The 24989-nt window shown below is 49.1% G+C and overlaps 1 protein-coding gene across 4 annotated transcripts in view, besides 3 other annotated features; it reads left to right on the forward strand.

The window, feature by feature from the left end:
- The window catches only part of SMARCB1 (SWI/SNF related BAF chromatin remodeling complex subunit B1), a 51044-nt gene that overhangs the window by 10503 nt on the left and 15552 nt on the right, over window positions 1–24989 (forward strand). For 2 of the 4 annotated variants that reach the window (NM_001362877.2, NM_001317946.2), the window contains exons 4-6: window positions 3476–3667; window positions 5827–5954; window positions 19302–19468. In NM_001362877.2, coding sequence (NP_001349806.1) covers window positions 3476–3667; window positions 5827–5954; window positions 19302–19468 — 487 coding nt within the window. The remainder of the gene's footprint in view (window positions 1–3475; window positions 3668–5826; window positions 5955–19301; window positions 19469–24989) is intronic. The other 2 variants (NM_003073.5, NM_001007468.3) reach the window with 1 other exon arrangement.
- Window positions 5950–6450: an enhancer, noted in NCBI's record as "H3K4me1 hESC enhancer chr22:24145605-24146105 (GRCh37/hg19 assembly coordinates)". NCBI's record gives its function as "activates a minimal SCP1, AML or CMV promoter by ChIP-STARR-seq in naive H9 embryonic stem cells {active_cell/tissue: H9 hESC(naive)}" and the evidence as "EXISTENCE:reporter gene assay evidence [ECO:0000049][PMID:30033119]".
- Window positions 18462–18963: an enhancer, noted in NCBI's record as "H3K4me1 hESC enhancer chr22:24158117-24158618 (GRCh37/hg19 assembly coordinates)". NCBI's record gives its function as "activates a minimal SCP1, AML or CMV promoter by ChIP-STARR-seq in primed H9 embryonic stem cells {active_cell/tissue: H9 hESC(primed)}" and the evidence as "EXISTENCE:reporter gene assay evidence [ECO:0000049][PMID:30033119]".
- Window positions 18964–19465: an enhancer, noted in NCBI's record as "H3K4me1 hESC enhancer chr22:24158619-24159120 (GRCh37/hg19 assembly coordinates)". NCBI's record gives its function as "activates a minimal SCP1, AML or CMV promoter by ChIP-STARR-seq in primed H9 embryonic stem cells {active_cell/tissue: H9 hESC(primed)}" and the evidence as "EXISTENCE:reporter gene assay evidence [ECO:0000049][PMID:30033119]".

Raw genomic sequence — 24989 nt, forward strand, 5'->3', positions numbered from 1 at the left:
CGTCTAATTTTTTTTGTATTTTTAGTAGAGATGGAGTTTTATTGTGTTAGCCAGGATGGTCTCGATTTCCTGACCTTGTGATCCGCCCACCTCGGCCTCCCAAAGTGCTGGGATTACAGACATGAGCCACTGCGCCTGGCCTTTTTTTTTTTTTTTTTTTTTTTTTTGAGATCGAGTTTCGCTCTGTCACCCAGGCTGGAGTGAAGTGGCGGGATCTCAGCTCACTGCAACCTCCCCTTCCCGGGTTCAAGTCATTCTCCTTCCTCAGCCTCCCAAGTAGCTGGGATTATAGGCACCAGGCACCACACCTAGCTAATTTTTCGTAGTTTTAGTAGAGACGGGGTTTCACCATGTTGGCCAGGCTGGTCTCGAACTCCTGACCTCAGGTGATCCGTCCGCCTCGGCCTCCCAAAGTGTCGGGGTTACAGGTGTGAACCACCACACCTGGCCAGAAGGTTGAATTTTATGGCTTAGATTTGCAGATTCTGTGTATGGCTGAGCATGTTACTCACATTCACTGTGTCTAGTGACACTTGCATTGTCCACTTGAGTTGATAGCTAGACCTGGAAATGAGAACTTGCTACTGAGATAGGGCAGGATGAGGGGGCAGGGGCTCAGCCCAGGCTCTAACGTATCCAGTCAGAAAAGAGGAGGTGGTCAAGATCTGTGGTTTGCAAATACAGGCTCAGCTACCTGGAAATCACCCGTGGAAGCTGCAAAGAACACATCTTCTTGGGCCCTTCCTCAGAGGTGGGAAGTCACTCCACCTGGGTGGGGCTCAGGAATGTGCTTCTTAAAATTTTGCATTCTGGGTTTGGGTGTTGTAGCTCACACCTGTACTCTCAGCACTTTGGGAGGCCAAGGTGGGAGGATTGCTTGAGCCCAGGAGTTTGAGACCAGCCTGGGCAACATAGTGAGACCCCACCATCTCTATAAAAATAAAAAAATTTAAAAATTGCACTCTGAGCGGCCAGGATTAGGAACTATGACCCAGATAGGTTGTAGAGGGGACCCCTGTCTTGCTGTCCCCTCTCATAGTCTCTGCCCAAGCTGATTCCATGTTCCCCAAATTGGGTACTACAAAATCCTCCCTACCCCTACCAGCGATCAAGGGGTAGTCCCAGCCTCAGCATCAGACGTGTAAGTGATTCCCACTTTAGAAGGGAAAAGAGTTAAAGGGCCCAGAGTCCAGGCAGGTCTTGGCCATTGCTTCTGCCCTCCCCCACCCTCTGGAAAGGAGAAGGACCTTTGTGCTGTCTTCCCGGGTCCCTCCTTAGAGGGAACTGTCAAACGTTTGTCGGCCGGGCGCGGTGACTGACGCTTGTAATCCCAGCACTTTGGGAGGCCGAGGCGGGCGGATCACAAGGTCAGGAGATCGAGACCATCCTGGCTAACAGGGTGAAACCCCGTCTCTACTAAAAATCAAAAAACTTAGCCGGGCGTGGTGGTGGGCGCCTGTAGTCCCAGCTACTCGGGAGGCTGAGGCAGGAGAATGGCGTGAACCCGGGAGGCAGACCTTGCATTGAGCCCAGATGGCGCCACTGTACTCCAGCCCAGGCGACAGAGCGAGACTCCATCTCAAAAAAAAAAAAAAAAAAAGTTTGTCATGACTTGCTCTGAATGGTTGAATAGTTATTGTGGAAGTGGTTGCGCAGGTGTTGGGGTTACACAGGGAAGTGACACACAGTCGCTGCCTGCTCCTGCTCACAGCCTTGCCAGGGAAAATGGAAAAGCACAGAGCACAACGGGCACCCAAATGCTCTCATCTGTTTCACCCAGCCCTGGAGCCTTAGTTTAAAACAGCTTTTGGTATTTTTTTTTTTTTTTCGAGATAGGATGTTGCTCTCTCGCCCAGGCTGGAGTGCAGTGGTTGATCCCGGCTCACTGCAACCTCCGCCTCCTGGGTTCAAGTGATTCTCATGCTTCAGCCTCCTGAGTAGCTGGATTATAGACGTGTGCCACCACGCCTGGCTAACTTTTGTATTTTTGGTAGGGTTGAGGTTTCACCATGTTGGCCAGGCTGGTTTCGAACTCACCTTTTGGTTTTTTTTTTTTTTTTTGAGATGGAGTTTCGCTCTTGTTGCCCAGGCTGGACTGCAATGGTGTAATCTCGGCTCACTGCAACTTCTGCCTCCTGGGTTCAAGTGATTCTCCTGCCTCTGCCTCCTGAGTAGCTGAGATTACAGGTTCCTGCCATCACACCTGGCTAATTTTTTTTTTTTTTTTTTTTTTTGAGACGGAGTCTTGCTCTGTCTCCCACTCTGGAGTGCAGTGGCGCAATGTTGGCTCACTGCAAGCTCTGCCTCCCGGGTTCACGCCATTCTCCTGCCTCAGCCTCCTGAGTAGCTGGGACTGCAGGCGCCTGCCACCACGCCCGGCTAATTTTTTGTATTTTTAGTAGAGACGGGCTTTCACCATGTTGGCCAGGCTGGTCTTGATCTCCTGACCTCGTGATCTGCCCGCGTCGGCCTCCCAAAGTGCTGGGATTACAGGCGTGAGCCACCGCGCCCGGCTACACCTGGCTAATTTTAGTATTTTTAGTAGAGACAGGGTTTCACCATGTTGGCCAGGCTGGTCTTGATCTCCTGACCTCAGGTGATCCATCCGCCTTGGCCTCCCAAAGTGCTGGGATTACAGGCGTGAGCCACCGCACCTGGCCTGGTTTCGAACTCTTGACCTCAGGTGGTCTGCCCATCTTGACCTTCCAAAGTGCTGGAGCTACAGGCATGAGCCACTGCACCTGGTGCTTTTGGTAAAAGCAACCTGGAATTTGGGAGAAAAGATCAAACGCTTCATGGGACATGGGTTATTTAAATTACCTTGGATGTCACCTCTGGAAGGTATTTATCAACCCATCTTCTCAACTTCTACTGCTGTGGAAGCTGAGAGGCCAGAGGCCTTGCCTAGTCCATCTCAGGATGGCTGGTATGTCTAAAATGACAGCCTGATCATGTCTCTTCCTTCAAAACCCTGGGGACTCCCAGCCACCTGCTGAGTAAAGTCATCTCACGGAGCATGTGAGACCTGTGATCGGTCCCCTCCCTGGGGACCTCCTCCCTGGACTGCCCCTCAGTCTCTCCTCCTTGCTGCTGCCCGTGCCCCTCCCCGCAGTGAACCCTGACTCAGTGTCTAAGGCTGTGCTCTATTATCCACTCCTCTGGGAAGTCTCCCCCTTGTACCACTTCCCCGCATCCAGGAAGTGCTTCCGTGGAGCCATGCCTGGCTCATAGTGCAGTACACCATGGCCGTGCTGTGTCTGGTGCCCCTACGTACCCTTGCCCTTGCCCAGGTGCCTCTAGCATCTGATGACAGCCTGGGGAGCAGGCTCCTGCAAAGTCAGGTGCACAGACAACTCCCATGGGAGCCTCGAGCCTGACAGAGGTACAGTGGGCATCCCTGGAGCATTAGTTGATTCCTGGTGGGCAGGATCAGGCTCCTATACTGACTGGGAGGACTTTTCTTGTATCTCCTCAGGGAACAGAAGGCCAAGAGGAACAGCCAGTGGGTACCCACCCTGCCCAACAGCTCCCACCACTTAGATGCCGTGCCATGCTCCACAACCATCAACAGGAACCGCATGGGCCGAGACAAGAAGAGAACCTTCCCCCTTTGGTGTGGATGCATCGCTGCACTCACCCTCCGTGCTGATTCCGCCTTAGTTCTCCAGCACGTTTCAGTTCCTTCCTCCCCAGAAAAACACTCTGCTTTGACCTTGTGCTCCCCACAACGCCACAGTACCTCCTCGCCTTTGAACTGTTGTGTTTCCCTGACTTCCAGGACATTGTCCATAGCCTCCTTGGCTCTGTCTGCTGTCACCTTGCCATGTCCTCCTCACCTCTCTGGCCCCTCAAGTGGAGTTACTCAGGGCGCGGTCCTTGGGCCCTTTCTCTGCCCTCAGTTTCACATGAGTGGGCCACAGCCAGTCTGATGGTGCAGATGCCATCCACGTGACTCCCACTGTGCCACCATTTCCCAGAGCCTGCTGGAGTAAACCACCACAAACTGGTGGCTTCGAGCAGAGCACATTTCTTCCCTCACAGTTCTGGGGCCCAGGAGCCTGGATTTAGTTTCACTAGACCAGACTCATGTGTGGACAGGGCCATGCTCCCTCCAGAGGCCATCGAGGCGATTCGGTCCTTGCTTCTTCCAGCTTTGGGGGCTGCCACGTTCCAGTCTCAGCCTCTGTGGTCACGTGGCCTTCTCTGCATGAAACTTCCCTGTCTCTCTCTTAGAAGGACACTTGGCGATGTAATTTAGGGCCCTTCTGGTTAATCTCTCAGGATCTTTCACTTAATCGTATCTTCAAAGTCTCCTTTTTTGGCCATATGAGCTGACAGTCACAGGTTTTGGGGATTAAGTTGTAGATGTCTTCGGGGTCTGTTTTTTACCTCTGTGGCCCAGACTTCCTCAGCTGCCCTCACCCCCTCAGCCTCATGCTGCCTGAAGACCTCTCCATCTCGGCGCGTGGAGATCCAGCCCTCTCCTTGCTCAGGCTGTAGGTTTCTTTCCCAAGGCCTGCCTTTTCCTCACACAGCAAGTCCAGTCTCTCCAGGTTCTCCCCTGGGACTGCCTCAGACAGCCCCCCACTGCTCTCCCTGGGGTCTCTAGCAGCCCCTACCTCCCCTCCCTGCTGCCTTCTCAGCTCTGCAGCTGGTGTGGCCTCTGCTCCAGGCAGATCATGTCACCTCTCCACGCAGAATCCTCCAGGCTCCCCATCACCCTCGGAGCAGAAGCAGGAGTTCTCACTGGGGTGCCAGGCCCAACCTGGCCTGGTGCTGCCACCGCTGCACTCTGCCCCACTCACCCTGCCTCAGGCCTGAGAACGTCCTCATTGCTGTCAGACCTCCCAGAGCTCCTGCCCTGCAGTTGCCTCTGCTGAGGTTTAGCCCCGTTCTCCCTCCTCCCCTCTTTCCTTTCCTCCTTCCTTCCTTCCATCATTCCTCCTTCCCTCCCTCCCATCCTACCCCCTCCTCCTTTTCCTTCTGTCTTCCTTCCCTCTATCTCCTCTTCCCATCCCTAGTTGACTGTCCCCTTCTCCCTTAGAGTGGCCACCCCTTTTCTGCAGCATCCCTGCCCCTTTCCCTGTCTGTTTCCCAGCGCATTCATGCCTGGCACTCAGCTCACTTTTCTCTGTCTTCCATCTACCTCCCAAGGTCACTGGGGGCCTTTCGCAGCCCTCTCCATGCTCCCAGACGCCCTTAGGTGTCCTGTGTCCTCCAGCTCCATTTCACCAACCTGCCTGCCGGACTCTTCCCTCTTTATCTTCCCAAAGTACTCCATTGCTTGGAATCCTCCTGGGACTCCCTCAGGGCAGTGGCCAGTTTGCATAGCCTGAGGGAAGAACTGTGGGTGCTTCGACACCCGCTAGCTTTGCAGCATCCCTGACCACTGCTCCTCACGGAATCTGTGCTCTGTGGTCTGTTTGTACGTCCTCAGCAGTTCCTCCATTCACCTGCCTTGGCCTTGCTAGAATATTTCCTCTTCTGGAAATGCCCTTCTCCTTTCCCATAGCCTTCCATGAAAGTCCTGCCAAATTTCAGGCTTAAATATCCCTTCACAGGATGTCTGGGTGTTGTTCCAACACTGCCCAGGTCGATTCTATTGCAGACAGACTGGTGCTTGTTATTTATGGCCCCAACTGTCCCCATTAGACCGTGGCCCCGGGACCCCTGCTAGCCTCGTCTGCTGCCTCAGCTGTTAGCTGACAAGCGGCCATCTTCCCCAGATGGGTTTGCAGAAGCCTGCTGTGCAGAGAGAGAGGCTGAAAATTTGCATACCTAGGGCTCCGGCCCCCTCGCTGACTGTTGCTTCCATTTCACTTTCAGCTTTGATGACCATGACCCAGCTGTGATCCATGAGAACGCATCTCAGCCCGAGGTGCTGGTCCCCATCCGGCTGGACATGGAGATCGATGGGCAGAAGCTGCGAGACGCCTTCACCTGGAACATGAATGGTACAAGGCAGTCGGGCTTGGCTGGGCCTGGCCCCAACCCCTGTGTGTTACGTGGGAACAGTCCCGTTTCCTGCCAGCTGCCTGTCAGGCAGATTCTGGACCTGACACGCAGGACATCGGGGCATAGTTTTGGAGGGTGTGGGCTCTGGGTTCAGTCCTGGTTCTGTTGCTGTTCACTGTGGATTGGGCCTGTGAACTTTGGACTCTTTCCCCATACTGAGGTTGGGTGGCCCAAGAGGCCTGGCATGGGAGGCGGCTGATCTGCATAGCATGGATGATGATGACAATGCCAGTCAGACCTAGTTCAGCCCCCGAGCCCTGCACACACCTGCCTTGGGTCCTGTCCACCACTCTGCTTCTGCTGTGTGAGGCTGCATGTGTGCCCCGTGCCTCTCTCCTCCTCTAACTGGTCATCTCTAGACATCCTCACTCTGTAAGTCCTGGGTCAGATGCCATCTCTTCTGGCTCTTCCTGGGCTTCCAAAGCCTGGACAGAACTCGGTCTTTGTGCAAATGTAGACAGAAAGGTTAGAAGGATATGCATCCCAGGTGTCTAGACTGCTTATCCCATCTGGGAGGGTGGATCATGCATGCATTTATTGTTTTCTCTATTTTTAAGTCTGTTAGAATGTATTTTTATTATTTTATTTTATGATTACTGTTTTTTTAGATCTTGTTGCATACCAGTTTTTTTTTTACTTAGTGTCTGTATCCTGCTGAATTTTTATAATGAACATACTATTTATATTCAGACAAAATGCAGTGAATATCATCTTTATTTTACTTATTTTTTTTTTTAAGAGACAGAGTCCCACTCTGTTGCCCAGGCTGGAGTACAGTGATACTCTCATAGCTCACTGTAATCTTGAACTGCCTGGGCTCAAGCAGTCCTCCTGCCACAGCCTCCCAAATAGCTAGGAATACAGGTGTGCACCACTGTGCCAAGCGTTACCATTTTTAAATGAGTAAATGTTTAAAATCATCAGAATCTCACCACCTGAATAATGTTTTCAGTTTTACCTTTTCTGTCAATTCCACATGCAAACATATTTAACATAGTTGTCACTATAGAGCAAGTATCGTTTTATTTTTCTTCACTTATCATAAGTATCTTTCTGGTTTCTCTTTTTTTTGGGAGGGGAGATGGAGTCTCACTCTGTCGCCCAGGCTGGAGTGCGGTGGCACGATCTCGGCTCACTGCAACCTCCGCCTCCTAAGTTCAAGCGATTCTCGTGCCTCAGCCTCCTGAGTAGCTGGAACTACAGGCGCGTGCCACCATGCCTGGCTAATTTTTGTATTTTTAGTAGAGATAGGGTTTCACCATGTTAGCCAGGCTGGTCTTGAACTGACCTCAGGTGATCCGCCTGCCGTGGCCTCTCACACTGCTGGGATTACAGGCGTGAGCCACTGCACCCAGCCTCTTTCTGATTTCTTTAATCTTCAAACAATGCAGCATTTTCTCCTGGGTCAAGGCGCCTTTGTTTGCTAAAACTCCCCCTGCTGTAGACGGCTCCACAGCAGATAACGTAGTTGCAGCATTTTTCTCTCAGAAGGGATTTCCTAAGGGAGGAGAGTATGAGTGGTTGTTGATATGTGGCTGCCTTGAGCTTTCTGAAGGATTAGGCTGCTTCCTTTGGTCATCCCCAGGCGCTCAGCATGGTAGGCCTGAGTGCTAGGCCTACCACTTGCTCACACCAGTGCCAGGCCTGAGTCCGAAGGCCTCTGCTCAGCCCTGAGAAGAAGGCCTGAGAGCCATGTGCCGGGTGCTTGTCCCGTAGGTCCCACAGGTCAGCTGGTGAGGGGGGACGCCAGTGGGAGGAGACATGGGTGAGGGAGGACACTGGCAAGAGACTCCGGGAGGTTGTATTGAGTGTAGATGGGGACAGGTACAGTTCACTGGTCATGCCCCAGAACAGGGACAGGACAGCCCATGGGGACCAGGCCACCAGTGCTGCACAATGCCTGTTATCTCTGCCAAGCTCCCCGTTTATCTCTGCTGGCCCACATCATAGTTATTTGTTAATTCTTTTCTCTCCCTCTCCATTTCAACCCTTTAAGGTCAGGGGCCTTGTTTTTCATTGCCGTTTTTCTTCTTTTTTTTGAGATGGAGTTTCACTCTTGTTGCCCAGGCTGGTGTGCAATGGCGTGATCTCAGCTCACCACAACTTCCGCCTCCCAGGTTCAAGTGATTCTCCTGCCTCAGCCTCCCGAGTAGCTGGGATTACAGGCATGCGCCACCATGCCTGGCTAATTTTGTATTTTTAGTGGAGACGGGATTTCACCATATTGGTCAAGCTGGTCTCAAACTCCTGACCTCAGGTGATCCGCCCGCCTTGGCCTCCCAAAGTGCTGGGATTACAGGCGTGAGCCACCGCGCCCGGCTGCTGTTTCTCTTAACATAGAATCTAGCCCAGCATAGGAACTTAGTGTTCCAATTGGATCAGTCCATGCTCTGTCTCGTTACCTTTCTTTGGGCAACACATAGAAAGTTCTGGTTTGTTTATACCCCCGCCCTGTTCCAGAAAGGATGCAAGGAAGCTTACCATAAGTACACTGGGCCCAAATGACTAAAGCAAATGAAAACGGAGTGGTTAGGAAAAACTGGATAAAGAGGAAATGTTCAAGTTGAAGAGGGAGCTCGTACTCAGCTTTTATTTGGTGAACATTGCTGGGAGTTGGGCGTGGCTCTGGGCCTTTTTAGAACCAGGCAGAATGAGACGTGAAAATCATTTGCATACTCAGTGTGGTCAAGGTTAGCAGCAGCCTGTGGCTCTGAAGAAGTAGAATCACACGTGGTCCTGGAATCTGAGATTTCCTACAGCCCTCAGGAAGAGGGCACAGTATAGTAAGGAAGACCAGGATCGTCCATGAACTCCACAGTGAGTTTCACTGGGCTGTTCCTCCTAGGAGTTCTAATGTAAAATATGATGCCCACTGAAAGTAATTTAGAACAAAGTCTTAACCAGTGGAGAACCAAAATAGTGTTGTTCTGCGAACTCTTCCTCAGCTCTGGGTGGTATTTGGCATTTGTAAGAGCTGTGATTCTTAATTGGTGGTTAGATGCCATGCCAAAATTGTTACTGATTTGCTTTGAAATTTCAGATCATCTTAAAGGTGGGCATGAGAGTCTTTATCACAGAGGGATTAAATATGTGAAGTAGCAGTACTTGAGTAGCACGAATGAAGTGTATGTTCAGCCCACCTTCAGAATCAGGATTGGCCAGGCGTGGTGGCTCACGCCTGTAATCCCAGCACTTTGGGAGGGTGAGGTGGGAAGATCACTTGAGGCCAGGAGTTTGAGACCAGCCTGGCCATCATGGTGAAACCCCCTCTCTACTAAAAATATAAAAATTAGTCGGATGTGGTGGCACACCTGTGGTCCCAGCAACCTGGGAGGCCGAGGCACAAGAATCGCTTGAACCTGGGAGGCAGAGGTTGCAGTTAGCTGAGATTGTGGCATTGCACTTCAACCTGGGCGACAGAGTGAGACTCTATCTCAAAAAAAAAAAAAAAAAAAAAGGAATCAGGATTTTTCTCAGGTTTCTGGTAGGTGTTGTGATGAGTTTGAGGTTATTTTCTCTGAAAAGGACTTGAAGTAGTGCTTCTCTGAATCACTGGTGATGTATGGTGTCACCTGGCTTAACAGCCTGCTGAGGGAGGGAAGTATTAAAATCCTCCAGAAAAGATGAGTTGCCTAACCAGAACACATGTGGACATAGATGCCATCTTCACCCAGAAGGGGAACAAGGGGATCCCCTCAGGAAGAGTTTTGGAATCTGTCTTGGCACACAGGCAAAGGAGTGATTAGGGCCCTGAGTGTCTACACTTGGCTACAGAAGGCAAGTTTTTAGAGATTTATATCCACATGCTTGTTTTGGGCTCTAAAAAAGTTAAATGAGGCTGAGCACAGTTGCTCACGCCTGAGGCTGAGGTGGGCAGATCACTTTACCCCGGGAGTTCAAGACCAGCCTGGGTGTCACGGTGAAACCCCATTTCTACAAAAATTCACCAGATGTGGTAGCACGTGCCTGTGATCTCAGCTACTTGGGAGGCTGAGGTGGGAGGATAGCTTGAGCCCGGGAGGTTGAGGCTTCAGTGAGCCGTGATTGAGCCACTGCACTCCAGCCTGGGCAACAGAGTGAGACCCTGTCTCAAAAACTTTTTTTTTAAAGTTAAAAAAAAAAATCAAATGATAGATTCAGGAAGCCAAGTGAAGCCCAACATGATTAACCCAAAGCAATCCATGCCAAGACACATCATAATTAAACTTCTGGAAACTCAACACAAAGAAAAAAATCTTGAGAGCAATCAGAGAAAAAGGACAACTTACCTGTAGGGAAAAGACAATAAGAATGGTGGTAGATTTCTTTTTTTTTCTTTTTTTTTTTTTTGAGATGGAGTCTTGCTCTGTCGCCCAGGCTGGAGTGCAGTGGCATGATCTCGGCTCACTGCAAGCTCCGCCTCCTGGGTTCACGCCATTCTCCTGCCTCAGTCTCCCGAGTAGCTGGGACTACAGGTGCCCACCACCACACCCGGCTAATTTTTTTTTTTTTTTTTTGAGACGGAGTCTGTCGCTCAGGCTGGAGTACAGTGGTGCGATCTCAGTTCACTGCAAGCTCCGCCTCCCGGGTTCATGCCATTCTCCTGCCTCAGCCTCCCGAGTAGCTGGGACTACAGGCGCCTACCACCAGGCCCGGCTAATTTTTTGTATTTTTTTTTTTGAAACGGAGTCTCTGTCGCCCACTCTGGAGTGCAGTGGCGCAATTTCGGCTCACTGCAAGCTCCGCCTCCCAGGTTCACGCCATTCTCCTGCCTCAGCCTCCCGAGCAGCTGGGACTACAGGTGCCCGCCGCCATGCCCGGCTAATTTTTTGTATTTTTTAGTAGAGACAGGGTTTCACCGTGTTAGCCAGGATGGTCTCGATCTCCCGACCTCGTGATCCGCCCACCTCGGCCTCCCAAAGTGTTGGGATTACAGGCGTGAGCCACGGCGCCTGGCCAATTTTTTGTATTTTTTAGTAGAGACGGGGTTTCACCGTGTTAGCCAGGATGGTCTCGATCTCCTGACCTCGTGATCTGCCCGCCTCGGCCTCCCAAAGTGCTGGGATTACAGGCGTGAGCCACTGCGCCCGGCCAAATGATGGTAGATTTCTCATGAGAAACTGGACGCTAGAGCAAGTGGCAGGATATTTTTCAAGTACTGAAAGAAAAGAACTGTTAATCTAGAATCCTGTACCCAGTGACAGTATTGTTCAGGAATGAACGATATTGGACATTCTTTTTTTTTTTTTTTTGAGACGGAGTTTCCGCTCTTGTTGCCCAGGCTGGAGTGCAGTTGCACAGTCTCAGCTCATCACAACCTCTACCTCCCGGGTTCAAGTGATTCTCCTGCCTCAGCCTCCTGAGTAGCTGGGATTACAGGCATGTGCCACCATACCCGGTTAATTTTTGTATTTTTAGTAGAGAGGGGTTTCTCCATGTTGGTCAGGCTGGCCTTGAACTCCCACCTCAGGTGATCCACCCACCCTCGGCCTCCTAAAGTGCTGGGATTACAGGCGTGAGCCACTGTGCTCGGCCAATTTTTTGTATTTTTTAGTAGAGATGGGGTTTCACCGTGTTAGCCAGGATGGTCTCGATCTCCTGACCTCATGATCTGCCCGCCTTGGCCTCCCAAAGTGCTGGGATTACAGACGTGAGCCACCGCGCCCAGCCAAATGATGGTAGATTTCTCGTGAGAAACTGGACGCTAGAGCAAGTGGCAGGATATTTTTCAAGTACTGAAAGAAAAGAACTGTTAATCTAGAATCCTGTACCCAGTGACAATATTGTTCAGGAATGAACGATATTGGACATTCTTTTTTTTTTTTTTTTTGAGACGGAGTTTCTGCTCTTGTTGCCCAGGCTGGAGTGCAATGGCACAGTCTCAGCTCACCACAACCTCTACCTCCCGGGTTCAAGTGATTCTCCTGCCTCAGTCTCCTGAGTAGCTGGGATTACAGGCATGTGCCACCATACCCGGTTAATTTTTGTATTTTTAGTAGAGAGGGGTTTCTCCATGTTGGTCAGGCTGGCCTTGAACTCCCCACCTCAGGTGATCCGCCCACCTCGGCCTCCCAAAGTGCTGGGATTACAGGCGTGAGCCACTGTGCTCGGCCAATTTTTTGTATTTTTTAGTAGAGACGGGGTTTCACTGTGTTAGCCAGGATGGTCTCGATCTCCTGACCTCGTGTTCCGCCCGCCTTGGCCTCCCAAAGTGCTGGGATTATAGGCATGAGCCACCGCGCCCAGCCGAATGATGGTAGATTTCTCATGAGAAACTGGAGGCTAGAAGAAGTGGCATGATATTTTTCAAGTACTGAAAGAAAAGAACTATTAATCTAGAATCCTGTACCCAGTGACAATATTGTTCAGGAATGAACGATATTGGACATTCTTAGTCAAGACATTCTTAGATGAAAGAAAACTAAGTGCTGGGCGGGGTGGCTCATGCCTGTAATCCCTGCACTTTGGGAGGCCGAGGCGGGCGGATCACGAGGTCAGGAATTGGAGGCCAGCCTGACCAACATGGTGAAACCCCATCTCTACTAAAAATACAAAAACAATTAGCCGGGCGTGGTGGCGCATGCCTATAATCCCAGCTACTTGGGAGGCTGAGGCAGGAGTATCACTTGAACCCGGGAGGCAGAGGTTGCAGTGAGCAGAGATTGCGCCATTGCACTCCAGCCTGGGTGACAGAGCGAGACTCCAACTCAAAAAAAAAAAAGAAAAAGTAAACTATCCCCTGCAGACCTTCCCTAAAAGAGTGGCTAAAAGAAAGGAAATGATTGCCGGCATGGTGGCTCCCACCTGTAATCCCAGCACTTTGGGAGGCCAAGGCAGGCGGATCACAAGGTCAGGAGTTTGAGACCAGCCTGACCAATATGGTGAAACCCCATCTCTACTAAAAATACAAAAACAATTAGCCAGGCATGGTGGCGCACGCCTGTAGTCCCAGCTACTCAGGAGGCTGAGGCAGAAGAGTCACTTGAACCTGGGAGGCGGAGGTTGCAGTGAGCCGAGATCACGCCACTGCACTCCAGCCTGGGCAACAGAGCAAGACTCTGTCTCAAAAAAAAAAAAAAAAAAAAGAAAGAAAGGAAAAGATTAAAGAAGAAACATTGAGACATCAGGAAGGAACAAAAGAAAGCATGATAAGAAAAAATGTAGATAAATAAAATAGACTTTCCTCTCCTCTTGGGTTTAACAAATTATGTTTGACAGTTGAAGCAAAAATTGTAACAGTATCTGATACGGTTCTAAAGGTATGTAGAAAGATTTAAGGCTTTAAGGCTGGGCATGGTGGCTTATGCCTGTAATCGCGGCATTTTGGGAGGCCGAGGCAGGCGGATCACCTGAGGTCAGGAGTTCAAGACCAGCCTGGCTAACATGGCAAAACCCTGTCTCTACTAAAAATACAAAAATTAGCTGGGTGTGGTGGCGGGCGCCTGTAATCCCAGCTACTCGGGAACGGGAAGCTGTGGCAGGGATAATTGCTTGAACCCGGGAGGTGGAGGTTGTGTTGAGCTGAGATGACACCATTGCACTCCAGCCTGGGCGACAGAGCAAGACTGTGTCTCAAAAAAAAAAAAAAAAAAGATGGATAAAGATAAAACGTTAATCAAAGGAAAGCAGGAGTGACAATGTTAGTATCAGTAAGGCAGACTTCAAAGAAAATGACCAGAGACAGAGAAGGACATTAAATAATGGTAAAAAGATAAGTTCATCAAGACATAGCAATCCTAAATATGTATGCAGCAAACGACAGAGCTGGAAAATATGTGAAACAGTATCAGATAGAAATCAGATAGAACCAAAAGGAGAAATAAACAAATTCACAATCATTGGAGACCTCAGCATTCCTCTCTCAACAACCGATGGAACTGGATGGAAAATCAGCAAAACGATGTAAGATCAAAAACACTATCGACCAACAGAATCTGATTAGCATTTATAGAACACTCCAGCACAGCCGAATGCACATTCTTTTCAAGTGCCTGAGCAACATATACCATATAATCCGTATAATGGATCATAAAACAAGTTTTAACAAATTTAAAGAATTGAAACCATACAGAGTGTGTTCTCCAACCACAATTGACTCAAATACTTGTAAGCTAAATAACAGACTTCTAAATAATCTGTGGTTCAAAGAGGAAGTCTGTAGGGAAATTTAAAAACATACACAGACCTAAATGAAAATGCAGCATATCAGAATTTGTGGGATAAAGCTAAACAGTGCAATACAGATTATCTGTAGCACCAGTGCGTACATTGGAAAACAGGAAAAGCTTTCCTCAAGTCGATAATCTAAGCTCTAATCTCAAGAACCAAGAGAAACAAAACCAAAGGAAGCAGAAGGAAGGACATTTGAAGAGCAGAAATCAATGACATTGAAAACAGAAATCAAACAATAGAGAAAATTAATGAAAACTAGCTGGTTTTTTGAAAAATTAATAAAACTGGCAATCTCTAGCAAGGCTGACAAAAAGAATGTAAATTATCAATATCAGGAATGAAATGGGATGTCACCACAGACCCTGCAGATATCAAAAGGAATACTGCAAACAATTCTATAAGTTTGACAGCTTACACAAAATGGATTAATTTCTTGCAAAACACAAAGTACCACAACTCATCCAATGTCAAATAGATAATTTGAGTTGCCCTATAACTATTAAGGAAACAGAATTTGTAATTTAAAAACCCCAAAAAATGGCCAGGCACGGTGGCTCTTACCTGTAATCCCAGCTCTTTGGGAGGCTGAGGTGGGAGGATTACTTGAGGCCAGGAGTTCAAGACCAGCCTGGGCTACATAGCAGGATCCAATCTCTAATTAAATTTTAATATAAAACATTATTTTAAAAAAGGAAAACAATTCTCCCCCCCAAAAAAATCTCTGGGCCCATATGATTTCACTGGAGAATTCTGTCTATCAAATGTTGACGAATGAGTTAACACCAATTCTACACAATCTCTTCCAGAAAATGGAAGAGGAGAACGCACTTCCTGATCAATTTTATAAAGCTCGTATTACCTAGATACCAAACCTAAAGACAGTACCAAAAAAAGAAAAATACAGACCAATATCCTTTATGACTAAAGATGCAAAATCCTTAGCAAAATATTGCGAAATAGAATTCAGCAATATATAGAAATAATTATATACTGTGACCAAGTGGGATTTATTGCAGGGATGGAAGGCTGGGTCAATATTTGAAGCTCAATCAATGTAATCCACCATATTAACACACTAATGAAGAAAAATCACAGGATCAGATCAGTTGATACAGAAAAAGCATTTTGTAGAACTCAACACCTGATGATAAAAATGCTCAGAAAAATAATAGCAGGAAACTTCCTCCATTTAGTAAAGAGCATCTATTTAGTACAAAAAGTCCTGTTGCTATTTTTTTTTTTTTTTTTTAGACGGAGTATTGCTCTGTTGTCTAGGCTGGAGTGCAGTGGCATGATCTCAGCTCACTGCAAACTCTGCCTCCTGGATTCACACCATTCTCCTGCCTCAGCCTCCCTGATAGCTGGGACTACAGGTGCCCTGCCACCACACCCAGCTAACTTTTTGTATTTTTAGTAGAGACGGGGTTTCACAGTGTTAGCCAGGAATGTCTCGAACTCCTGACCATGTGATCCACCCGCCTCGGCCTCCCAAAGTGCTGGGATTACAGGCGTGAGCCACAGAGCCTGGCCTTCTGTTGCTAGCATTTAATAGTGAAAGGTTGCATGCTTTCTGCCAGAGACCAGGAACAAGCCAAATATGTCTGCTGTCACTATTCTTATTCAACATAGTGTTGGAAGTTCTAGCTAATCCAGTAAGCTGAGAAAAGGAAATAAAAGACGTGTAGATTGGAAAGGAAGAAATAAAATCCTATTTGCAGATGACATGATTGTCCGTGTAGAAAATCCCAAGGGATCTACAGAAAACTTGGAGAACTAATAACTGAATTCCCCAGGGTCACAAGATACAAGGGATACAAGGTAAACATGCAGAAATCCATTTTATTTCTATATGCCATTAATGAGTACCTAGACACAAATTAAAAATACATTACCATTTATCATCACTCAATAAAAAAAGGAATACTTAGGTATAAATCCAACAAAACATTTACAGGACTTATATACCAAAAACTATAAAACACTGACGAAAGTAATGAAGGAAGACCTAAATAAGTAGACATATCATATTCATGGATTAAAAGACTCAAGATGATGTCAGTTTTCCCCAAATTGATATACAGATTTAATGCAATTTCTGTGAAAATCCCAGCAAGATTTTTTTTGTAGATAAGATGGTTCTAAGATTTATATGGAAAGGCAAAGAAACTAAAATAGCTAAAGCAATTTATTTATTATTATTATTATTTTTTTTTGAGATGGAGTTTTGCTCTTTTGCCCAGGCTGGAGTGCAGTGGCATGATCTCTGCTCACTGTAACCTCCACCTTCCGGTTTCAAGCGTTTCTCCTGCCTTAGTCTCCCGAGTAGGTGGGATTACAGGTGCCCGCCACCATGCCTGGCTAATTTTTGTATTTTTAGTAGAGACAGGGTATTACCATGTTGGCCAGGTTGGTCTCAAACTCCTGAGCTCAGGCAGTCCGCCTGTCTCAGCCTCCCAAAGTGCTGGGATTACAGGCATGAGCCACCACACCCGGCCAGCAATTTTGAAAAACAGTAAAGTGGGAGTAATCATTCTACCCAATCTCAAGGCTTACTATATAGCTACGATAATCAAGGCTGTGTGGTATTGGTGGAGTGACATACCGTGATGGAACAGAATTGAGAATCCAGAAACAGACCCACACAAACGTGCCCTCCTGATTTTTACAAAGATGCAAATGTGATTCAATGGAGGAAAGACAGCTCATTCAACAAAATGGCACTGGAGCAATTAGACAATCATAGGCAAGTAGGCTGGCACAGTGGCTTACGTCTGTAATCCTAGCACTTCGGGAGGCTGAGGTGGGCAGATCACCTGAGATCACGAGTTCGAGACCAGCCTGACCAAGATGGAGAAACCTCGTCTCTACTAAAAATACACAATTAGCTGGGCGTGGTGGCGCATGCCTGTAACCCCAGCTACTCGGGCGGGTGAGGCAGGAGAATCGCTTGAACCTGGAAGGCAGAGGTTGCTGTGAGCCGAGATCACGCTGTTGCAATCCATCCTGGGCAACAAGAGTGAAACTCTGTCCCAAAAAAGCAACAACAACAAAAAAGGCTGGGCACAGTGGCTCACGCCTGTAATCCCAGCACTTTGGGAGGCTGAGGTGGGCGGATCACCTGAGGTCAGGAGTTTGAGACCAGCTTGACCAACGTGGAGAAACCTCGTCTCTACTAAAAATACAAAATTAGCCGGGCATGGTGGCGCATGCCTGTAATTCCAGCTACTTGGGAGGCTGAGTCAGGAGAATTGCTTGAACCCAGGAGGCCGAGGTTGCTGTGAGCCAAGATCACGCCGTTGCGCTCCAGCCTGGGCAACAAGAGCAAAACTCCGTCTCAAAAAAAAAAAAAAAAGGCAAAAGACAGGAAGAGAAATTTCACTAAAGAAGTTATATAGGTGGCAAATAAACATTGAAAAGCTTTTCCACATTGTTAGCCTTAGGGAAATGCAGATTAAAATTACACTGTTATTCCACATCTTTAAAAAGTGGTGACAGCATCAGATGCTGGCGAGGATGTGGAGGAACTGGGTCACTCACAAGCTGCTGATGGGAATGTAAAGTGGCTGGAAAACTGCCCTAGAAAACAGTGTGGCAATTTCTGTTAAAAACTAAACATGCGGCCAGGCGTGGTGGCTCACACCTGTAATCCCAGCACTTTGGGAGGCCGAGGCGGGCGGATCACGAGGTCAGGAGATCGAGACCATCCTGGTTAACATGGTGAAACCCTGTCTCTTCTAAAAATACAAAAAATTAGCTGGGCGTGGTGGTGGCTGCTTGTAGTCCCAGCTACTCGGGAGGCTGAAGCAGGAGAATGGCGTGAACCCGGGAGGCGGAGCTTGCAGTGAGCCGATATAGCGCCACTGCACTCCATCCTGGGCGACAGAGCGAGACTCCGTCTCAAAACAAACAAAAAACTAAACATGCAACCAGTGTACCTTGAGCATTTATCCTGGAGAAATGAAGACATGTTTATACAATAGCCTACACGTGGATGTTCATAGCAGCTTTATTTATAATAGCGGGAAACTGGAAATGATCTAGATAGCCTTCAGTGAGTGAATAGTTAAAGTGAGGCCCCTTCGTACCACAGAATGTCACTTGGCAGTAAAAGGAAGTGACAATCTGGATGAATCACTGGATACAGATACAGTCCTCTATCTTGTCTTTTTTGGAGGAAACTGGGCGCAGTGTGCATGGAATTTCTCTGTGTTGTTTCTTGCATCTGTACATGAATCTACAATTACTTAAAAATTTTAAAATGCTCTGGGCAGTGTATTCACTGGGTGTTTACCCCGTGCACCTGAGGTTCCTGCTGTTGCTGCCCCGCAGGCTGTTAGGATGCTGGTCTCCAGCGTGTCTTTAGGGCAGGGAGGAGATAGTGGGGCTGTGGTCTGTTAGGCCGACCTGCTTCTTGATGATGGAATCCTACTGTCTGCTCTGAGGCAATTTTTCTTGGCTTTTTCAGCTTATTCCTGCAAGGCGTCTTGTCAGTACGGTCTGGGTGGAGCAGGGAGAGAATGTTGACTGAGAGGACCTTGCTGAGGTCTGGCTGGCCACAGATGGTCCCTGTGAGCTCCCATCTGGTACAATTCCTTTTCCAGGATCCGGGATCTGTAGGGACCTCCACGCTTGTGACCTTGTTGAGGCCCTGCTGCTGCTACTGCAGTCACAGGCCTGGAAATCGCTGTGGCTTGGCACAGTGTGTTTTGCTCACATGAGGCCTGGTATTGGGCCAGCCTCTGTGCCATCACGTCTGCCACCAGTTCAGCACAGAGGGGAGTAGAGAGATGGCACGCAAGCTTTGATGTGCCTTTGCTGGCCTCGCCTGGATCATCTCATTAGTTGGGATAATCTCATGCGCCCACCCAGCTATGAGTGGAATGAGGGAAGTGTTTATGGCCATGACCACCCCCAGGGCATGGAGCAGGAGGTCTGTGCAGGATGAGGGCTGGGGGCCTGCTAGTCATGTGCTTCCTCCTTCCACTCCCAGTTTCCAGGAAGGCCACCCCCAGTGCCCTGGTTGTCCTCTCCTGCATCCGGAGATGTTTGGCTTCAAAGAAGAAGGGGTGAGGGAGGCCGGTCCATGCCCAAGCATGGTGCAATCTCTTGGCATCCCTTCCCTCTCCTGATTTCAGAGAAGTTGATGACGCCTGAGATGTTTTCAGAAATCCTCTGTGACGATCTGGATTTGAACCCGCTGACGTTTGTGCCAGCCATCGCCTCTGCCATCAGACAGCAGATCGAGTCCTACCCCACGGACAGCATCCTGGAGGACCAGTCAGACCAGCGCGTCATCATCAAGGTAGGTGACTTCTCACCCAGCACTGGAGCCTTCCTGGCCCTCAGGGTGGGTGTCATCATGGAGCACTGAGGGTACACCAAGGCCTCAGCAGAAGCCCGTCTTTGGGTTCCATATCATCTGGAAAGTCATAACACCTGGCTTTGCTCCCTGCAATCCCCCAGGAAGGGCATAGGCTGAGTTCTCATAGTAAAGTGTTATATTCCGGACACATTCAGGGGGTGTCTCTGAGGCACTGCCAGGCTCTGAGCAAAGCCCGGAGGTCTAGAGGAGGTGAAGGCAGCTGATTGGCTGGGCCAGGCTGAGTGCTCCAGGGGGGCCTAGTAACCCAATAAGATGCTGCCTTAGTGGCCATATTACAGGTGAAGAGGTGGGCACGTGGAGAGCTGAGATCACCTGCGGAAGTTGCAAACTGGCCAGTTGAGAAATGGTGAGGCTGGCGATTGGGCGCAGGCCTGCACCCTGCAGAGCCTATAGCATAATCCTTGCTGTGCTGAGCCGCCACTGCCAGACTATGCCTTGAGGGTGAGGGGAGCTTTGAAAATAGGAAGATATGAGAAGTAGGTGAAATTGGCACATGTGATGACCCTAAAAAGGTCAGTGGTTTGGTTAGATCTGATGCTGTGCCTTTGGCTTCCATTTTAGGAAAACATTGATGTATAAAAATAAGAGCCATGTTACAAAGGGTTCCTGAAAATAGTCTTTGGGGTCGAGGAGCCTCGGGAGGGATGCCTCCTGTGACTGAGGGATGCCTCTGCCCCGTGCACCAGATGGAGCCTGGGCCGACTTCTTCCCACTGTGGTTCTCCGTGGCACTTTACTAAGATTTTGGAAAATAACGTGGGGGAATCACCAGCAACTTCCTCTGTGGTCCCCCAAGTAACAAACAACTAAATATCTTATTTAGTTAGTCAAGACAGTCTCACTGTGTCGCCCAGGCTGGAGTGCAGTGGCTCGATCTTGACTCATTGCAACCTCCACCTCCCGGGTTCAAGCAATTCTCCTGTCTCAGCCTCCTGAGTAGCTAGGATTACAGTTGCCCGCCACTAAGCCAGGCTAATTTTTGTATTTTTAGTAGAGACAGGGTTTCACCATATTTGTCAGTCTGGTCTCAAACTCCTTACCTCAGGTGATCCACCCACCTCAGCCTCCCAAAGTGCTGGGATTACAGGCATGAGCCACCGCACCTGGCCGAAATACTTTGGGTGTGTGTGTGTGTGTGTGTGTGTGTGTGTGTGTGTGTCGCAGTCTCACTCTGTCGCCCAGGCTGGCTTGCAGTGTGCGATCTCAGCTCACTGCAAGCTCCGCCTCCTGGGTTCACACCATTCTCCTACCTCAGCCTCCCAAGTAGCTGGGACTACAGGCGCTTGCCACCACGCCTGGCTAATTTTTTGTATTTTTTATAGCAGAGACTGGGTTTCACCGCGTTAGCCAGGATGGTCTCGATCTCTGGACCTCGTGATCTGCCCACCTCGACCTCCCAGAGTGCTGGGATTACAGGCATGAGCCACCACACCTGGCCAATACTTTGTTTTCTTGATTAATATTTTAAAATTGTGGTAACATTCATAACATAAAATTTACCATTTTAACCACTTAAGTGTAAATTCAGTGGCAGTATATTCACATCCATGGCTGTGTAATTATCACCACCATCCATCTCCAGAATTCTATCATCATGTAAAACTGAAACTGTCCATCAAACACTAACTCCCCATTCCCCCTCCCCCCACCCCTGGCAAGCACCATTCTGCTTTCTGTCTCTATGAATTTGACTACTCGAGGTGTCTCATTTACATTCCTAAGGGAATCATGCAGTATTTGTCCTTTTGTGACTGGCTTATTTCACTTAGCAGAATGTCTTCAAGGTTCATTTATGTTGCACCATGTCAGAATTTCCTTCCCTTTTTAAAATGTATTTATTTTTAGACAGGGTCTTACTCTGTTGCCCAGGCTGGAGTGCAGTGGCGCAGTTATGGCTCACTGCAACCTCTGCTTCCTGGGCTCAAGTGATCCACCCGGTGCAGCCTCCTGAGTAGCTGGGAAGCTAGGACTACCGGCACACTCCACCACACCCGACTGATTTTTTGTATTTTTTTTGTAGAGATGGGGTTTCGCCATGTTGCCCAGGCTGGTCTCAAACTCCTGGGCTCAAGCCATCTGCCCACCTGAGCCTCCCAAAGTGCTGGGATTACAGGCGTGAGCCACTGCGCCCAGCCTCCTTTCTTATTAAGGCTAAATAATATTCTGTTGTATGGATCTATCACATTTTTATTTATTCATCCCTAAATGGACAGACACTTGGGTTGCTTCCACATTTTGGCTATTGTGAATAATGCTGCTATGAACCTGGGTGTGCAGGTATCTGTTGGTGTCCCTGTTTTCATTTATTCATTCATTCATTCATTCATTCATTTAGATGGAGTCTCACTCTGTTGCTCAGGCTGGAGTGCAGTGGCGCGATCTTGGCTCATGGCACTCCTGCCTCCCAGGTTCAAGCAATCTCCTGCTTCAGCTTCCTGAGTAGCTGGGATTACTGGCACCCACCACCATGCCCAGCTAATTTTTTTGGATTTTTAATAGAGACCGGGTTTCACCATGTTGGCCAGCCTGGTCTCAAACTCCGCCTCAGCCTCCCAAACTCAAATGATCTGCCCACCTCGGCCTCCTAAAGTGCTGGGATTATAGGTGTGAGCCCCTGTGTCTGGCCCCTGCTTTCATTTCTTTTGGGTGTATACCTAGAAATGGAATTCCTGGATCGTACAGTAATTCCATGTTTAGTTTTTTGAGGATCCACTATACTGCCTTTCTCGGTGGCTGCACCTTTTATATTCCTACCAGCAAGGCGCAGGGGTTCCAGTTTCTCCACATCCTCACTCACACTTGTTAGTTTTTCTTTTCTTTTCTTTTTCTAGACAGAGTCTCGCTCTGTTACCCAGGCTGGAGTGCAGTGGCATGATCTTGGCTCACTGCAACTTCCACCTCCTGGATTCAAGCGATTTTCCTGCTTCAGCCTCTCGAGGAGGAGCTGGGACTACAGGCGCATGCCACCACGCCCGGCTAAATTTTGTACTTTTAGTAGAGACGGGGTCTCATCATATTGACCAGGCTGGTCTCGAACTCCCGACCACAGGTGATCCACCTGCCTTGGCCTCCCAAAGGATTATAGACGTGAGCCACTGTGCCCGGCCAGTTTGCCAGCATTTTTTTGAGGATTTTTGCATCAACATTCATAAGGGGTGTAGGTCTGTAGTTTTCCTTTCTTGTAGTATTTTTTGTCTGACTTAGGTATCAGGGCAATGAGTTAAAGAATAGTTTGAGAAGGATTGGTGTTAGCTCCTATTTAAATGTTTGGTAGATGGCCGGGTGCAGTGGCTCACGCCTGTAATCCCAGCACTTTGGGAGACCGAGGCGGGCGGATCACCTGAGGTCGGGAGTTAGAGACTACCTGACCAACATGGTGAAACCCCGTCTCTACTAAAAATACAAAAATTAGCCGGGTATGGTGGCACACACCTGTAATCCCAGCTACTCAGGAGGCTGAGGCAAGAGAATTGCTTGAGCCCGGGAGGCGGAGGTTGCAGTGAGCCGAGATGGTGCCACTGCAGTCCAGCCTGGCTGACAGCGAGACTCTGACTCAGTCAGTCAATCAGTGTTTGGTAGAATTCACCAATGAAGCCATCAGGTCTAAGGCTTTTCTTTGTCAGGAAGATTTTATTATTGATTCAGTCTCTTTACTTGTTAATACCTTTTTGAGAGGAATACAAATTTGTTTCAGTTTCACATTATGGCCAGCTAGGAGGAAAAGAAGGGACAATGGTAGGAGAGAAGTGGGGTGGGGATGGGAGTGGCAGCAAGCACCTGGCCTGTGTCCTGCATACGGTCTGCTGGCTCTGGAGGGCAGCCCTGAGGGCTCCACTCTGTGCTTCTCTTTGTCTTGTAAACATGTGGAGGATGAGGCTGTGTGGGCTAACCCACCCAGCCACGTGGTTCCAAATGACTGGGATTGGCCACACAAGGGGCCTCATGAAGCCTGACTGGTAGCTTCCCTTAACGTTTTTCTCAGAATTGAGCCCATTTTCATTGTTGTTGTCTTGACGGGGCCTGCAGAGGAGCCATACAGGAAGTTGCCCAGCAGCTGTAATCCTCCTGGGGCTGTTCCCTGCCCCACCAGAAGAGGCTTCCCCAGTGACCCTCTGACTTACCTGTGATTCCCACCTGGGGGATGGTGGCAGCTGGCAGGTTGAGAGACTGTCCCCAGCCAGGTGTCCTGCTCTGCCCTTTGGGTCAGACCAGATGTCACAGGGTGGACACAGCTGGCCCAGGGAAGCCTGTGTTATGTGGGACAGACTGCATTTTTCAGGCCAGAGGCCTCCTGGGCACCGTGACCCTGGGAACAGTGTCCTGTCTTGCCCATGAGGAATAGAAGGTCACACCCAGGGTTTCCCATCTATAATTGGGACTCAGAAGAGCTGGGTATTTCTTTCTTCCTTCCTTTTTTTTCATGGCTCACTGCAGCCTTGACCTCCTGGGTTCAAGTTATCCTGCCATCTTGGCCTCCTGAGTAGTTGGAACTATAAGCACGTACCACCATGCCTGGCTAATTTTTAAATTTTCTGTAGGAAATGGAGTCTCGGCTGGGCACCGTGGCTCATGCCTGTAATCCTAAGACTTTGGAGAGCTGAGGTGGGCAGATTGCCTGAGCTCAGGAGTTCGAGACAAGCCTGGGCAACATGGTGAAACCCTGTCTCTACTAAAAATATAAAAAATTAGCTGGGCGTGGTGGCACGTTCCTGTAATCCCAGCTACTCTGGAGGCTGAGGCATGAGAATTGCTTGAACCTGGGAGGCGGAGGTTGCAGTGAGCCAAGATTGCGCCACTACACTCCAGCCTGGGCAACAGGCTCTTCCCATCTCACTGACTCTGTCTCAAAAAAAAAAAAAAGAAAAAAGAGAAAATGGAGTCTCACTTTGTTGTCCAGGCTGGTCTCGAACTCCTGGGCTCAAGCAACTCTTCCACCTTGGCCTCCCAAACTGCTGGGATTACAGACATGAACCACTGTGCCTGGCCAGAGCTGGGTGTTTCTGTAAGGACGTCCTTTGTCTTGATCCTGGAACATGACTGAAGGAAAACAAGAATCTTTGGAGCCATGGCACATGAGGACCATCTCTCTCCTCAGAAAGAGTGCCTTAGGTTAGAGCAGCATCTTCCAGATATTCTTGGCAATGCTGGGACCAAAGCCCAGGCCTGGCTGCCCTTGCCAGGGCACCTGGCCCAAGTCGGCTTTGCCCAGTTCCAGCAGGGGTTGGGGGGCAGGGGAGGAAGCTGGGGACATGGTGCTGCTGCAGTTTGAGCCATCAGACCCTGTGGCACTGTCCAGGCCCCGTCCAGAGAGTGCATGGGGTGAGATGTGAGTCAGGGCTGGGGAGGTGGGCAGGGGCCTGGCCCTGCTGTGCACCTGCTTGGGAGTCCTGGCCCCGTCTTAGCTCTGTGAGTCCACCTGGAGTCCAGCACTCCTCACTACC

This window comes from Homo sapiens, chromosome 22 (assembly GCF_000001405.40).
Source record: "Homo sapiens chromosome 22, GRCh38.p14 Primary Assembly".
Classification (NCBI taxonomy): domain Eukaryota; kingdom Metazoa; phylum Chordata; class Mammalia; order Primates; family Hominidae; genus Homo; species Homo sapiens.